A 16,417-nucleotide genomic window follows, 5' to 3' on the forward strand; every position below is an offset into this window, starting at 1 on the left:
AAAATTTATGTGGATTGGCTGATAAAGAGCATTTATGAAAAACTACAGCTAACATCAGATTTAATGGTGAAATATTGAATTAAAAAAAAATAAACACATGGGCCAGGTGTCATGGCTCACACCTGTAATCCTAGCACTTTGGGAGGCTGAGGCAAGAGGATCCTGGAGTTCCAGACTAGTCTGGGCAACATAGGGAAACCCCGTCTGCAAAAAAATATTTTTTAAAAAACTAAGCGTGGTGGCCCATGCCTGTAGTCCCAGCTATTCAGGAGACTGAAGTGGAAGGATCACTTGAGCCTGGGAGTTCGAGGCTGCAGTGAGCTGAGATTGTACCACTGCACTCCAGTCTGGGCAACAGAGTGAGTCTGTCTCAAAAAAACAACAAAACAGACTGGAGAACATAGGGAGACCCCATTGCTACAAAAAAAAAACATCCTAGCCAGGTGTGGTGGCACATGCCAGTGTTCCCAGCTACTCAACAAGCTGAGGTAGGAGGATGGCTTGGGCCCAGGAAGTCAAGGCTGTAGTGAGCCATGATCAGACCACTGTACTCCAGTCTGGGCGACAGAGTGAGACCCTGTTTCAAAAAAAAAAAAAAGTGTATATACACACACATTCACATACATAGAGAATGAAAAGCAAATGGGCAAAATATAAATAGTTGGTGAATCCAGGTATACAGGAGTTCCTTGTACTCTTGGAACTTTTTCTGTAAGTTTGAAATTATATCAAGATTAAAAGTTAAAAAAACTTTATACAGTGTATATAGATTGGAATAGACCCTCTGAAACCTTATTTCCTGGATTCCTTCAGTGATCTAGCGTTTTGGAAAATACACCTGTCCCCTACTGTTAATACCAGGTAACCCTGTACATGCGTACCATTTGCATCTTCAAAGCCCCATCCCAGGCTTACCTTACCTGGTCACCAACATAGCTGCTATTTCCACTCTCTCTGTTGCTAAGACCATATATAGCTTGTGTCTTATCTGTACCTCAAATGAACCCAGAGGTGAAGTGTTATGGGACTGACCTGGAATGCAGCTTCATTTTGCCTACACTAGTTCCACATCAAGACCACTAAGTTCATTAGAATTTGGCCCAGTCTCTGTAAGTGTTGCTTCTGCATTTATCTGTTAACAACTCTCAAATGCCAACTTTGGGCATCCAGAGATATGTGAGGCCTAAGAAATATTCAGGTGCTCGGTGACTCACAGCATGAGTTATTGGAATATAGACCTCACTGTGTAGAATGATGTGAGTGTCTTTGGTTTCTGTACTATATTTAAGAAAGATGTCAATAAAATATTTGTATATTAAATTATACTTACATAATTTGAGGAGCTCACTAATTATGGAAGACTTTAAAATTACTTCCCTGATTTATCTATTGGGTTATACAAGTTGAACTGAGTCACCTGGGAATCAATGTGTTTTTTTTTTTTTTTAATGTTCTTTTATTTTGACCGCAGCGAAGTTCTGCTCTCCAGAGCCTTTTTGAGCTCTAAGGTACATTGGACTTCTATTTCTAGTCTTTAACCTGACTTCTAGTTGTTCCAAAGTTTTGTTTCTAAAAGAGTACCGTCTTGGGTGCGGTAGGAAAGGAATAATTTAAGCTCTTAAAAAATACACACACACACACACCTGGTACTTAAAGCACCATGGTTTCAGAGAATTCTACATAACATTTTATATGTCAAAATTTTGAGACATGCATGTCATTACATAGCTATTTCAGTGTATAGGAGTAAAGTCTTCATTTTGGATTCTGAATTGAATAATGGGGAAAGAACTGATCTATCTTTACAATCTTAACTCATCTTCCCTTTCTTACCTGGTCACCGTAAAAATAGTGCTATACAGGCTGGGCGCCACCCGGTGGCTCACGCCTGTAATCCCAGCACTTTGGGAGGCCGAGGCAGGCGGATCACGAGGTCAGGAGATAGCGACCATCCTCACCAACACGGTGAAACCCCGTCTCTACTAAAAATACAAAAAAGTAGCCGGGCATGGTGGCGGGTGCCTGTAGTCCCAGCTACTCGGGAGGCTGAGGCAGCAGAATGGCGTGAACCTGGGAAATGGAGCTTGCAGTGAGCTGAGATCGTGCCACTGCACTCCAGCCTGGGTGACAGAGCGAGACTCCGTCTCAAAAAAAAAAAAAAAAAAAGTAGTGTAAAATAGTGCTATACTACATTGACAAGACTCAGAGTCTACACTCAGATTACAATAAATGAGAAATGGCAAAAACATATGTTACATTCTATGCATTGGCCATAGAGAACAAACTTAGGAAAAGTGATAGTATGGGGAAAAAGAAAAGTAATGGCACTAAGGAAACAACTGATGTGAACAGGATTATCCAGCTTCTGCTAATACACATTTTTTGCCTCCTTTGCTGCACATGCCACCCCATCTGTCTCACAAAGGCTTTAGATGTTAAGAAGTTAGAGGTGCAGAGATGCTGTTGCTCCCCCAACAGTGGGCTTGGTTTCTTTCTCAGAATGTTTGAAGGTATTTTTTGCTGCTTCCATCCTGAGGAATGGCAGGTTGGGCAGCATGTACTGCACATTCTTTTCATCTGGAGTTTGGAGGGTTGGTTCTGGGTCTGTTTTTTTTTTTTTTTTTTGAGACGGAGTCTTGCTCTGTTGCCCAGGCTAGAGTGCCGTGGCATGATCTCGGCTCACTGCAGACTCCGCCTCCTGGGTTCAAGTGATTCTCCTGCCTCAGCCTCCCGAGTAGCAGGGATTACGGGTGCCTGCCACCGCGCCTGGCTAATTTTTGTATTTTTTAGAAGAGATAAGGTTTCACCATCTTGGCCAGGCTGGTCTCGAACTCCTGACCTCATGATCCACCCGCCTCGGCCTCCCAAAGTGCTGGGATTACAGGCATAAGCCACTGTACCCAGCCAGTTTTGGGTCTTTTAAAGTAAGACTCAGCTGAGTTGGTCACTGTGGCTCATGCCTGTAATCCTAGCACTTTGGGGGGCTGAGGCAGGAGGATCACTTGAAGCTGGGAGTTCAAGACCAGCCTGGACAACGTAGACCCCTCATCAATACAAAACTTTAAAAAATTAGCTGAGTATAGTGGCTCATGCCTGTAGTCTCATCTATTGGGGAGGCTGGGGATCACTTGAGCCCAGGAATTTGAAGCTGCAGTGACCTATGATGGCACCACTGCACTCCAGCCTGGGCAACAGAGTGAGATCCTATCTCTAAAAAATAAATAAAAATTTAAAAAATAAGACTCTGCATGCCCAGTTATCTTGGGTCCTAATTTATTGTGGATATGGATAGAGGTACAAAGGAAGGATTTGCATTCTAATTTCCCTTTTACCACAATCTGACTTATTCCTCTTTCTAGAATATAAAGATTCAGATAAGCATACTTCTAGTAAACCCACACAAGGAGTTAAAAAAAGAAAGATTGGTCTTTTCCTGCCCTCCATAACTTGATCGTAATTTGTGTATATATATACACACACACACATAAACACTTCAAGAAACACCAGGCACTTTATAGACATGATTTTTATTAATATGGTATCCCTGAGAGACAGATTAGGTGTAAACATTATTTTGCTTTACAGAAAGGGAAATGGAGGCAGGTTAACTTACAAGACATCTGGAACCAGAATATCTGTTGATACCACAACCAATGCTTTTCCCACGAGACTATACATAGATATACTAAAGACAATACTTTTTTTTTTTTTTGACATTACAGCACACTTCCTAAATCATCTGAGATCCTGAGGCACTGCTTCAGACTGGTGTTTCTTGTAGCTTCCTGTCTGCTTAGGCAACATAACAGAAGTACCATCTTCCCTTAATTCCTAATAAATATTAGATTTTTTTGTACTAAGATTCAACAGCAGAATCCTAATTAATCTCTAACACAACAAGCTATGAATTATAGAATACTATATCTTCCTACTGCTCTCCCTGATCTTATTCCAGCCACAGAATTCTAATTGAATGTGAAACGGCTACTTATCCCAGTCCTTGGCCATCTGGCCATGTTTATCTTTCTTCTCACCTGCTCATCAAAATATCTTCATCAGATACTACGATTTCTGACCTTTATCTCCCATAGGAGCTAGTCCCCTAAAACTGCTTATTCTTTCAGTGGCAGTCAGCTGTTTCCTTATCAATAGTTATAGCGTAGTACCTGATTTACTATAGATGATGGTTCTACCACCTCATGGTCTGCTCCTAACACCCATGTTTCAGCTAAGGTGATTCTCTCTGCCTGCTGCACAGCCCATATCATACTATTCCTCAAGTTCTCATGCTACTCCAAGCTTTATCTGGCCTTCCTTACAGTCTATCCTTTGCCCTTTGTTCCATCTACACAAAACACCTTGCTCCCCCTTTTTCCCATTCCTCAACCCACCCAGCACTCAATTTTGCAACTAGTTATGGAAAGTTCTTCCTATCATAATTTAACCAGTAACCTTCCCTCCTTTGACCACTTCCTGCTTCATGAAGCCTTCCTGAATAAAGAGAAAAAATACCTCCCAGATTTTTGTTAAAGCAAACTAATGCATTGGACCACAACATTTATGCATAGTGTTGCTACCTAGCTTTCTAGATTTCTCTAAAACTGCCGCAACTATGCATGTGCACTTGTTTGTCCATGTCAGTGTCATCTGCTTTAGATTGTAAGGACAAGGAGAGGACCTGTTGACCTTGTGCTATACAGGGCTCATCATACTATGAGCATATGGGCAGTTAATACTATTGTATTATAAAGATGAGTAATTATATTTGCATTTAAAGAACTGCTTTTAATTGTATTCAGTTGAATGTGTATGTCTAGATTGGCAGCTCCACTGGCCAAAGATAATCCATCTTCCCTGCCATTAGGGTAAAGGGCCTGTTCGCACACAGTAGTCCATTTTCCCAATACACGGGAATGTGGCAGTGGCTTCTGCTTATTGCAGGTAAGTGCCCATGGAGGGCATAACACTATACCAGGTGTGTGGAATATGGACGAGTTCCTATTGGCAGCTTTAACTGCTCTACCTGTCACCACATGCAGCTGCGTTGCTCTGTGGAACTTCTGGACCACAAGAGACAGACGAAATTCAGATGAGACTGGACAGAAAGAAAACCAACCTAAATCCTGTAAATGTATTATTCTATTCCAACCCTTCTTCTAGGACTCAGAAGAAACTAAGAAATCCAGGGTTCACACTTCAGTATAAGGTTTTCATTGTTTCTGCATAAGAACACCTGTTCTTGACAAGATGATTCATAGGGCAGAACCAAGATGGACATTAAACTCTCCTTCTTTAAGGTAAATGAAGAGGGTGCCTGACAAATATGTCATTTTGAGCACAGGTTTAAGTGAGCAGGAAGAGTCATTCATTTTAGCATTTCCATTATTGTATAAAGAAGAGCTGGGCCGGGTGCAGTGGCTCACACCTGTAATCCCAGCACTTTGGGAGACCTAGGCAGGCAGATCATGAGGTCAATTCAAAACCAGCCTGGCCAACATGGTGAAACCCCATCTCTACTAAAAATGCAAAATTTAGCCTGGTATGGTGGCAGGTGGCTGTAATCCCAGCTACTCAGGAGGCTGAGGCAGGAAAATTGTTTGAACCCAGAAGGCAGAGGTTGCAGTGAGCTGAGATCATGCCACTGCACTCCAGCCTGGACGACAGAGTGAGACTCCATCTCGAAAAAAAAAAGCCCGGCGCAGTGGCTCATGCCTGTAATCCCAGCACTTTGGGAGGCCGAGGCAGGCAGATCACCTGAGGTCGGGAGTTTGAGACCAGCCTGCCCAACATGGAGAAACCCCATCTCTACTAAAAATATAAAATTAGCTGGGCATGGTGGCGCATGCTTGTAATTCCAGCCACTTGGGAGGCTGAGGCAGGAGAATCACTTGAACCCGGGAAGCAGAGGTTGCAGTGAGCTGAGATCGTGCCATTGCACTCCAGCCTGGGCAACAAGAGCAAAACTCCGTCTCCAAAAAAAAAAAAAAGAGCTAGACCCACCTAATGGGCAAAGTCTCATAACTTCTTCTCGAAATGTAATGGGTTTTTCCTGTCAAAATGCAGCTGAATGACAGAATGAGTAAAGAAGGATGCTTATCAAATTCATAGGATCTATTACCTTGTCCTCTGTGCTTATATTAAGGGAACACCATAGGCACTGAGAGGGAAAAGATGTTATCCATCAATTCAGATGCAGGCAAAGAGAGGGACTGAAATCTTCCTTTCATTCTTTAGACTGCCTTGGGGATTTGAGTCTAGATCAGGAAAAACAAGGAACAAACAGTGGCATAAATCCTAAAGTGAATTTCCTAAGCTAACTGGACACAGAATAGTAGATGAATCTCACTATTGGAAGACTTTCTAAACAATACATTTATTGAGCCTCTTTCCGTTATATATCCTCAGGGGCTTACTTGGGAGCTGACTGTGTCAGAAGCTTTTCCCGTGCATGGATTTCTCCGTGCTTATTAAGGGCAGAGCTTTTACTGAAGCACTTACCACAGTCATGACACCCATAGGGTTTCTCTCCTGTGTGGGTTCTATGATGTGCACGTAAGTCAGAACTCTTACTGAAACTCTTTCCACAGTCAGGACACACATGGGGTCTCTCTCCTGTGTGTATCCTCCGATGTGCACTAAAATGAGAACTGTTATTGAAGCTTTTTCCACACTCTTCACATTGATAGGGCTTTTCTCCTGTGTGGGTTCTCTGGTGAATGATAAGGCTTGAGCTCTGATTGAAGCATTTCCCACACTCACCACATTGATAAGGTTTCTCTCCTGTGTGGATTCTCCTATGGGTGATGAAATTTGAACTGTCACGGAAACTTTTTCCACAGTCAAGACATTTATAAGGTTTCTCTCCAGTGTGGATTCTCCGGTGTCTAATGAGTCGTGCACTCCGACTGAAGCTTTTCCCACAATCAGCACATTTATATGGATTTTCCACCTGGTGGGATACCTGATGCATGAGAAGGGAGTTTGGACCAAAGCTTTTGCTGTATTTGAGATATTTATAGGGTCTCTCTCCCAAGCAAGGTCTCTGTTGACTTAGGACTTCACTTAAGCTCTTCTCCGGGAGTGTCAGTTTTCCTCTTTTCTCCCCTGAGGTCTTTGCCCACTGTCTTCCTGATCTACAGTCACTCTCATTGCCTTTACCCTGATGAAGATACCGGGGAATTTTCCTTTCAGATCTTGCAAGTAATGTCCTATGCAGTTGTACTTCCTCAGAAATATCCCGTTTTGAATTATCTTCATTCTCAAATCCAGCTTCAAAACCTGATGTAAAACAGAATTTTAGAAGTTATCTATTTTCTTAATCATATGTGCCACAGGAATGTAAAACTTGGGAAAAACAAGCATTACACCACATGATTAAAATTTAGGGAGCCCTAGATCCCAAATAACTACCATTATCTTATTAAAATCCCAATGTTTTACTTCTCTACTTGTTAACCTATCATGTGCTTCTCATCTACATAGGGTCTGAATAATATATACTTTTAATTCCTCTTGGTCATCTAGGATCTTTGGAAAATCCTCCCAGTACAGCATGGAAAATCACCAGGTTTTAGATAAAATAATTTCCATGTTTCTACAGGAAAGACACTTTCTAATACGTATTTTTGCCACATCTCGGGTCTGTCATAGTATTCTTATTCATGTTCTTCACCAGTAACTAAAAGGTTTAGAAGGACATGCTCAGGAAAACATTTTTGGAAACTTTTATATCCAGAGGAGCTTCATGAGTCCCCTTCCCCTCACATTCCAATATACGTTGCAAGTAAAAACAGGATAGAAAAATATGTAGTGTCTTTCAAAGAACCAAAAGGCCCTAAGAACCAAATGCCTGGCTTTTTTGGGCCTAGGCTATGCAAATTTGCATTTATTCAGCTATTTCAGGTAAACTCTGAATCCCATATTCCCTAGACTAAATCTAGGAGTAAAAGCATGTTGAGTATCAGCCCATGTTTGTACCTCCTGAGACAGTATTTCTACCCAGAAGCCTAGTCTTATGAGATATTTCATGAAATATTCACTAGATTAAATAAATCTTAGAACCTTAAATATGTGAATATGTATTGTGAGCCTCCAACAGGGGTATTTACCATCTTCCCAAACCTATAAGTTATTTTTTAGTAGAATATATTAATACCCCATGGAATTGATATTCCAGGGAACAACATTAAAAAATGCTGATCTTAAAGACTTATGAAAATGAAAACTATTATTAAATGGCTACTATGTGCCAGGCACTGTGCACAGTACCTCATTTACATCAACCCTATGAGGTAGGTCTTAATATATAAGCAAACTTGGGGGTTAAGTAACTTTTTTTTTTTTTTCATTCGTTGCCCAGGCAGGAGTGCAATGGCACGATCTCAGCTCACTGCAACCTCTGCCTCCCAGGTTCAAGCGATTCTCCTGCCTCAGCCACCCAAGTAGCTGGGATTACAGGTGCGCGCTACCACCCCTGGCTAATTTTTTGTATTTTTAATAGAGATGGGGTTTCGCCGTGTTGGTCAGGCTGCTTTCCAACTCCCGACCTCAGGTGATCTGCCCGCCTCGGCCTCCCAAAATGCTGGGATTACAGGCATGTGCCACCATGCCCAGCCTTAAGTAACCTTCTCTAAGTCACTTAACTAATAAACAACAGAGCCCAGATTCACATACGTACACATATATGACTCTGAAATCAGAACTCTTCTCACAAGGATGGAAGCCCTTGTGAAGTATTTTTTTCTTATCTAGCAGCTAAGATTCAAAGGGTCAGTTCTCTCAGGAACCTCAGATTCATAAAAGTGAACAACAGTTATCAGATTTTCATAAATGTGAATAAAGCAGACATACAGCTGGTATATGAGCTGAAACTAGAAGAAGACATATAAAAGAGAATGAACTTTTAAAATCAACTTCATCCTACCGTGGGTACGTGACATGCTACTTGAGAAATGTGAGCTTTCAGATTCCCTGCTTAGTAAACTGGTTGGAAACCTAGTGGTTCATGAATAAATCACAGCAAATTTACAATGTGCAGCTATCTCAGATTGATGCTCTAGTGTGGGAAGTCAAGTCACATAAATAATTTATATCCCCTCAGTGAGCTGCTTTAATAGACAAGAAATATGGGTGGTCACAAGAAGAATCCATGAAAGCTGGGTGTAGAGGCCAGTTCTCAATCAGATGATATTTTTCCTAAGTCCCATTGTCTTCCCTTTGTTATTTATACCATAATAGTGAAATAATCTTACCACGGGGGCTTTGGAATAACACTGGAGCACGGGTTATGACAGCCCCTGGGGGTATCTCAGTATCCTCTTCATCATCATCAGAATCTTCCTCTGTGGCCTCGTCTGCTTCCTCAGCTTGCTTCTGAGCTTCAGCCTCACTGGTCCCCTGGACGGGGCAAGAAGCAGTCTCTTCCTGGCCATCATTGGGTGGGGCAGCAACCCGGACACTCACCAAAGCATCCATCTCTTCAAAGAAGGGACAGGTCTCTGGTGCCTGGCCATTCTTAACTTTCCGATAGCTGGTTTGCAGGCTTTTAAACTTGGTCCGACACTGTTCTGGGGTCCTAAGAAAGCCATATTCCCATAACCTCTCAGCCACTGCTCCATACAGCTGGCTGTTGCGGTGACAGTTCCGGAGGGCTTCATAAAACTGGGTCTCACTAAGAATTGCAAGGTAAGTCTTGGTCTCTTCATAGCCCCAGTGTACACCTGCCACCAGAAGAGAAATTTCAGCACCACTTAATCCAGAGCTTTAGAGCCTGAATTCCTCAGTCCTATCATCTGCATCATGAGAATTCACCTAAGCTCAGGCTCCTAGATGAAAAAGTAAAAATACTTCATGTTTCCAAAATCCACAAACTCAGTATAGAATGTTTTGCTTCTTTATATCCTTTAGCAATTTCACAGAGACCTTTATTTACAAATTCTGTTTAGCCATATAAAAAAGAAGCTGGCCAGGCACAGTGGCTTATGCCTGTAATCCCTGTGGATCGCTTGGGGCCAGGAGTTTGAGACCAGCCTGGACAACATGGTGAAAGCCTGTCTCTACTAAAAACACAGAAAAATTAGCCAGGCGTGGTGGTGTGCACCTATAGTCCCAGCTACTTGGGAGGCTGAGGCATGAGAATCGAGAATCGCTTGAACTGGGGAGGTGGAGGTTGCAGTGAGATGAGATCACACCACTGCACTCCAGCCTGGACAACAAAGCGACTCTGTCTCAAAAAAAAAAAAAAAAAAAAAAAGTGAAAGAACAATGATAATGAAAATAACATTGAGCACATGTGCCACATTTAATTAACCTACATATATTTGTGTCTGCAACAAAAAAGGAAAAAGAGAATGAAGAAAACAAGAAAAATAAAGAGAAACGAAAAAGCAGAAGACACAAAGACCAGAAAGCTAGAACAGAACTAAAATAAGATCATGCATGTCACAAAAAACAGAAGGAAAAGACCACTGCTCACAAAGGAACTGCAACTTTAGCGATGTAGTCCTCCTGCTTTGCCCCATTTTACACTTGAGGAAATGGAAGCTTAGAATGGTTAGATAACTGCTCAAGGTCGCCCAGTTTATTAGTGGTCATCAGGATTAGAATCTAAGCCTCCTGAGTCATACTTTGGTGCTCTTTCCATAACAGCATAGTTGTACCGATTACATTAATGGTAGTAAATGATACTTTAAAAAGGATTCCATAGGCAAGAATATTTAAATAGAGTGTTAAACAAGCTTTCTCACTGTAGGACTTCTCAATCCTGTTAAAATGCCAATGTATACTATGAATCTCAGAGGAAACTTAGATGTTTCCCAGCTCAGTGTGGTGGCTCACACCTGTAGTCCTAACTACTCAGAAGGCTGAGGTGGGAGGACTGCTTGAACCCAGTGAGACCAGCCTGGGCAACACAGCAAGACCCTGTCTCTGTTTAAATATATTTTAAAATTTTTAAAGAAAAAAATGTTTCCCCAACTTTGGACAATTCTTCACTGTACTATTCTAAGTAAAAACGAATATAATAAACTGACTTTGAGCTTTGGGGAAGTAAAAGATAAAATATGTAAAACATCAAGTTCATATGACATACTCAATAAACACTGGTTCTACTTAAAGATAATATTGTGCCACATTTTTCTCAGTGAGCCTGCTGCAATGATTTTAAAATCAGGGAAAAAAATAGTTTAGTAAAGAAATGGAAGGAATGATACTCCTTCTCAGGACTGTGAATTTTCTGAGTGTATTTCTTCTAAAAATCTAAATGTATTCCCAATTATCTCACTGATTTTCCCATAAAAGAGAATGAAATACACACAAAGAATGGAGAAGCACTTCTTTGTTCCCTAAGTGGCAAAGCTGGCATGTGACATTAAGCCTTCTGACTCCACATCCAGTCTCTTTGTTCCCCAAGTCTAATTCCAAAACTCCAAGAAGAAAAGCTTCTTACCACCTGGGCTTCTGAACACAACAGGTGCAGCTGAGTTGGGGTCCTGGGGGGTCGCCTCTAGATCCATGTCATCACTGTCAGACTCCTGAGCCACAGCCTCTTCTGCTCCCTCCTCATGCTGCCAGCCCCTCTGCCCTGGCTCTTCAGTCTCAGCATCGCTGCCTACCAGGCCAGAGTGAGAGGCTGCTGCTTCCAGGCCATTACTGGGCAGGGCAATGACCTGAGCACTCATCAGGGCTTCCATCTCTTCAAAGAAGGGGCAGGTCTCAGGTGGGTGGCCGCTCTTGACTTTCCGATAGCTCTTCTGGAGACCTTTGAACTTGGTCCGACACTGTTCCAGGGTCCGGAGGAAGCCATATTCCCTGAGCCGCTCAGCCACAGCCCCATACACTTGGCTGTTCCTATGGCAGTTTCTGAGAGCCTCATAAAACTCAGTCTGGCTGAGAATTGCGAGGAGCGTTCTGGTCTCTTCATAGCCCCAGTGCACACCTGCCACCTTCTCATCTTCAAAGCTCCAGTGATCCTGTTCCACCCAGCTTCTTCTATCTTTCTTGGATGGTAACAGATCAGCATGCACTCGTCTGTCTCCTATGTGGCTGCCACTTGGAAGTTCTTTCTCCTTAGAGCCCAGCAGATCTGGGATCCATGGCTCTCCTTGCTCCAACCTGGAGACCACACCGGATTTAGGAAATGGCAATCCTGCTTGCAGGGAAACAAACAAAAGTTGTCATAGTTTGGACTGATTATCACAAAAATCTTGAAATTCAGTCCTGCCTTTTTCATCCAAGAGGATTATAAACAAAGTGTCTAGGGAAATGTTTTCAGAAAGTTCAGTGGGCTGAAAAAGGTGGGGAAAATACAGGAAACCTCAAAAGATGAGAAATGTTTTATTTTCCAGAGCAGGGTGACAAGAGAGGAAAGGATTCTGTTGTGTGTTCAGAGCAGATAATTCTATTCCAAGCTCTCCTATTTGTAGGCAGGTCCTAGTACTGCTGGGAATAATTGTTCTTCACTTGGGGCTACAGAATTAAACTCGGCGTGATTTCAAGGGGGAAGCGAGAGAAGATTGTCTTTACCTTATCCGTTTCCTTCACAGTCAGTCACCAGGTTCTAAAGGTGTTCACCTTAGTAGTCCTTCCTCTCTATTCCTACTGCCACCATCCAAGTCCAGACTACTTATCCTCTCACACCCAGATAATTGCAGCAGTCACTGTTCTACCTAACCGCAGGCTCTTGCTTGCCAGTGCACATGCTACCCTGGTGAACCTTAACCTTAGTGCCTACCATACCCATTCCTGTCAGACTCTTCCCTTCAGAACACAGCACACTGTTGTTCACCACTCTGTGCCTTTACTTTTAATTCCCTCCTATCCAATTTTAGCCCATCCTTCAAGAGGCTGTATTTGCCAGTGCCCTCAAGAAGCCTTACCGTCAGCCCTCCCTCATCTCCCACTCTGACAAACCCATACGGTACTCACACAATTGGGCAAGTCATTGTCTGGCACTGTTTCAGTTCAGTTCAGTTCGGCACATACTTAAGAGTTAGCTATAGTGTTCTCAATCATGTTTTTAAGTTCTTTGAGGATAGGCACATTTTCTTATTGCAGAGTACCCTGCAAGATGTTGAGCACCTTGACAGGTGTTCAAAAACTGATGAACTCTGCAAGTCTGTGTGTGAGATTCAGGGATTTCATCTGGGTGACTAAACAGACCATTACCAAACTGGCTGAGAAGGCTATTGTCTTGGATGATAAGATCAGAATTCAAAACAACCTCAACAAATTTTAAGTGAAATGGTAACAGAAAAAAGCATACAACATGGAGATCAATAGACTACAAAGAAGAAAAACAAGTTCTACAAAAATCAAGTACAAGAATAATCAACTAGGTATAAAGGCATTGGGGAAAGCTATCAGAGTCCTGGAAGTTACCAGGTGAACAAAAAAATATAACAGGTTGGGCTATACTGATACAAGACATTGCAAGATTCTGAAGTAAAATTCTTACTTAGCTTCTAACAGACTTTCAGGAAAATAATAAACATAATTTAGTTCCCCACAATTAACATGATATTTGGAGAACTTAAAGGTTCCAATAGAGAGCAACAGAAACTTAGGTTTAAAGAATGGATCTTGGCCGGGCGCGGTGGCTCACGCCTGTAATCCCAGCACTTTGGGAGGCCGAGGCGGGCGGATCACGAGGTCAAGAGATCGAGACCATCCCGGCTAAAACGGTGAAACCCCGTCTCTACTAAAAATACAAAAAAATTAGCCGGGCGTAGTGGCGGGCGCCTGTAGTCCCAGCTACTTGGGAGGCTGAGGCAGGAGAATGGCGTGAACCCGGGAGGCGGAGCTTGCAGTGAGCCGAGATCCCGCCACTGCACTCCAGCCTGGGCGACAGAGCGAGACTCCGTCTCAAAAAAAAAAAAAAAAAAAAAAAAAAAAAAAAAGAATGGATCTTCTGGGGGAAAGCTTAAGGTAACAAATATAGTTTAATTTGAAGATGGAAAACAACCAAAAGGAAGATGTGCCTTCAAGTATAGAAAAGAATTTTTATCTAGAAAATAATGACCTATACTATCATCATTACCAAGAGGAAATAAAATAATTCCAAGTTCCGATAAAAACTAGGGAGCCATTCTCTTGTGGACTTATCAAGAGGTAATATGAATACCAGAGGCTAAACTACATGTCAACAACCACATATTCTGCAATTTCCACTTACTCCTGAAATCCCTTTCCCACTCACTATTCCCAACCCTACTTCCCAACTTGGAATGGCAGTCTATCTTCCCATATGAATCTACTCCTCACCGCTCCTTTGAAAAGGTTTGAGCTTCTCCTTTGGGTTCATCTGCTCCTGTGGTCCCAGGTCTGGGCTTCTTGCCCTCTCTTTCTTGGGTACACCCCTGGGCTGGGGTTCCACTGACTCCTGCCGAACACTTAATAACTCTTGTGATGATTTCGGGGGTGTCATCTTCTCCAAGCGCACTTCCTGCCCCTTCACAGAGACTGTGACCTAGAAACAACCCCCGTTAATTGTCACTGCAAGATCATAATGAGGGGCATTCCCAGAGGAGAGTATTTAATACCCCAAAAGAGATCATCTTTCAGAGCCATGGCCAGGGTTGTAGGGGTGAGGGAGGTTAACGCGAACAAGGGTCTTATTCCATTGCCATTAGCTTAAAGCAGTTGAAACTCCAGAAGGAAACGATCAAAATAGTAAACCCACCTTCAGGCTGAAAAAAAAAAATCCCCTTTCTTCCCTATTAAGAAACTATAGGAAAAACTCATTATGACAGGGTAGGTGAAGGTACACCCAGGAAGCATCTCCAGACAAGCACTATCTGAAAAAGTTACCTATACCAGACCAGAAGTATAAGCCTCACCAAGGGAGACTGTGTCCCTCTTTAAGCCTGTCTATATCTTAATTTAGCCCTCCACCCAGTATCACACTTTTGAATTTGAATTCCCCCTCCCTTCTCACCGAAGATCTAGGTCTTCCAGGCTCTCTTTCTAAATCTTCCACGAGAGTCACTGCCTCCTCTCCATTTTCTGGACATTGTTCCTGTACCCAATTCTGGATCTCCCCAGGTAAGACGGTCAGGAACTGCTCTAGCACCAACAGTTCTACAATCTGCTCCTTGGTGCGCACCTCCGGCCTTAGCCACCGACAGCAAAGTTCCCAGAGTTGGCTGAAAGCCTCCCGCGGCCCAGCCACCTCCTGGTAATGGAATCTCCTGAAACGCTGTCGGAAGGTCTCAGAGTTAGTGCCATTCTCTCTTAGAGCTGATTTGGCCATCATTAATAGCAGAATGCAGCTTCCCTTCGCTTAGGAGTCTGGGTTCCAGGGCTTACATCTATCTTCCCATGTCCTTGGAGAATCCCCTGCAGATGACTGTAAGAGGTGTTTCTTCCTAGGGCAGAGAAAGATGGCACTATCAGAAGGAATACATTCATATGTCTAAAGTCTTGCCAGAGCTGGCCTGCCTTTCCATGTGCTCCGAGTGGCCTTCTAAGGTAGCACAATCTTCAGTAAATAGACTTTGCAAAAACTGCTTTTCTGGTTGACTTCCAGGGCAGCCCCAGGAAGCAGCAGAGAATAAAAGTACTGTCTGCCCCTCTCCCACCTCCTCCAAATCCGATCCCATTTAACTTCCCTGGCCAATGTTGCACAGTGAGTCCGAACCATATAGGAGAGCTGGAGTTCGAGAGGATCTAAAGACAAGTCACCATCCTGCTTGAAGGCAACAAAAAGCCTCTGTCCAGCTGGTCGCAGCTGATCTCCCCCAGTATCTCCGCAGTCCTTCCCGAGGCCTTCTGCGTCCGCCCCGCCCCCTCGGGCTGCACAACTCCCAAAGCCCACCCCAGGCAAAAATCACGTCCAGAATCTCGGGTCTTTGTTTTCCCCGCGTAGTAGTAGCCGCTCAGCAAGGATTAGGGAGCTACCTGTCGGAAAACCTCGCGCAAGGAGAGAAGCTGGTTTTGGCTCCAAAGCGAGGACCATGGGGGCTTGGGGAGAGTCACATTGGGCAGGAGAGACGGAATCCGAGGAGCAGTAGTAACGGGCTTCCTGAGGACGGGCTCGGGTGTCGGCCAGAGGCTCCAGGTGCTGCCGGTTCGCGGACGCAGAGCTCTCAGCCCAAGGAGCAGCGGCTGCGGGATTCTGGCCTCTTTTGTCTCCGCTCCCTCCGGCCGGGTAACCCGGAGCCGTCGTGCGGTCCCTCCAGAGGCCTCTGACCCGGCTAAGGCGCCCTGAGGGCGCCCTCCAGCCCACCCCTGGGAGCGTCTCCCTCTCGAGCTGCCCCTCAACCCCCTCGCATCCTTGCCTCCGGGCCAGCCTCACCCACTCGGGGTCCGACCCTGACCCCGGCCCCGGCCCCGGCCCCGGCCCCGGCTCTCCAGCCTCCCAAGTACAGCTCCCAAACCGGAAGTCCGAGCGGGCGGCTCGGGGCACCGAGGGCGCATGCGC

The 16,417-nt window shown here is 43.9% G+C and overlaps 1 protein-coding gene across 4 annotated transcripts, besides 2 other annotated features; it reads right to left on the reverse strand.

Annotated features, from left to right (window-relative positions):
* Positions 212 to 405: a silencer, noted in NCBI's record as "fragment chr15:43647073-43647266 (GRCh37/hg19 assembly coordinates)". NCBI's record gives its function as "represses an EF-1alpha promoter that drives an FKBP-Casp9 reporter gene in an ReSE screen in HepG2 liver carcinoma cells {active_cell/tissue: HepG2}" and the evidence as "EXISTENCE:reporter gene assay evidence [ECO:0000049][PMID:32094911]".
* Positions 3,512 to 16,380, reverse strand: ZSCAN29 (zinc finger and SCAN domain containing 29). Of its 4 annotated transcripts, none has more exons than NM_001372080.1 (6): positions 15,895 to 16,380; positions 14,933 to 15,362; positions 14,260 to 14,464; positions 11,447 to 12,145; positions 9,252 to 9,719; positions 3,512 to 7,278 (listed from the first exon to the last, which is right to left on the reverse strand). In NM_001372080.1, exons 2-6 carry the CDS (start codon positions 15,248 to 15,250, stop codon positions 6,410 to 6,412), a joined length of 2,559 nt encoding a protein of 852 aa, NP_001359009.1. In that variant the 5' UTR covers positions 15,251 to 15,362; positions 15,895 to 16,380; the 3' UTR covers positions 3,512 to 6,409. The 4 variants fall into 4 exon arrangements, with proteins under 4 accessions (NP_001359009.1, XP_047288143.1, NP_689668.3 ...); XM_047432187.1 differs by having other exon boundaries at positions 14,933 to 15,682; NM_152455.4 differs by lacking the exon at positions 15,895 to 16,380 and having other exon boundaries at positions 14,933 to 15,399.
* Positions 16,079 to 16,348: a silencer, noted in NCBI's record as "silent region_6385". NCBI's record gives its function as "represses an Ori minimal core promoter by ATAC-STARR-seq in GM12878 lymphoblastoid cells {active_cell/tissue: GM12878}" and the evidence as "EXISTENCE:reporter gene assay evidence [ECO:0000049][PMID:35858748]".

The sequence above is a fragment of the Homo sapiens genome, chromosome 15 (assembly GCF_000001405.40).
Source record: "Homo sapiens chromosome 15, GRCh38.p14 Primary Assembly".
Taxonomy (NCBI): Eukaryota; Metazoa; Chordata; class Mammalia; order Primates; family Hominidae; genus Homo; species Homo sapiens.

Excerpts from the sequence above, each read along its gene's own strand:
- ZSCAN29 (NM_001372080.1), bottom strand. The coding sequence starts at position 15,250 with ATGATGGCCAAATCAGCTCTAAGAGAGAATGGCACTAACTCTGAGACC. Across the intron at positions 14,465-14,932 it reads CTGGAAGACCTAGATCTTCG|GTCACAGTCTCTGTGAAGGG; the intron begins GTGAGAAGGGAG and ends GGTTGTTTCTAG. Across the intron at positions 7,279-9,251 it reads GTTATTCCAAAGCCCCCGTG|GTTTTGAAGCTGGATTTGAG; the intron begins GTAAGATTATTT and ends GTTTTACATCAG.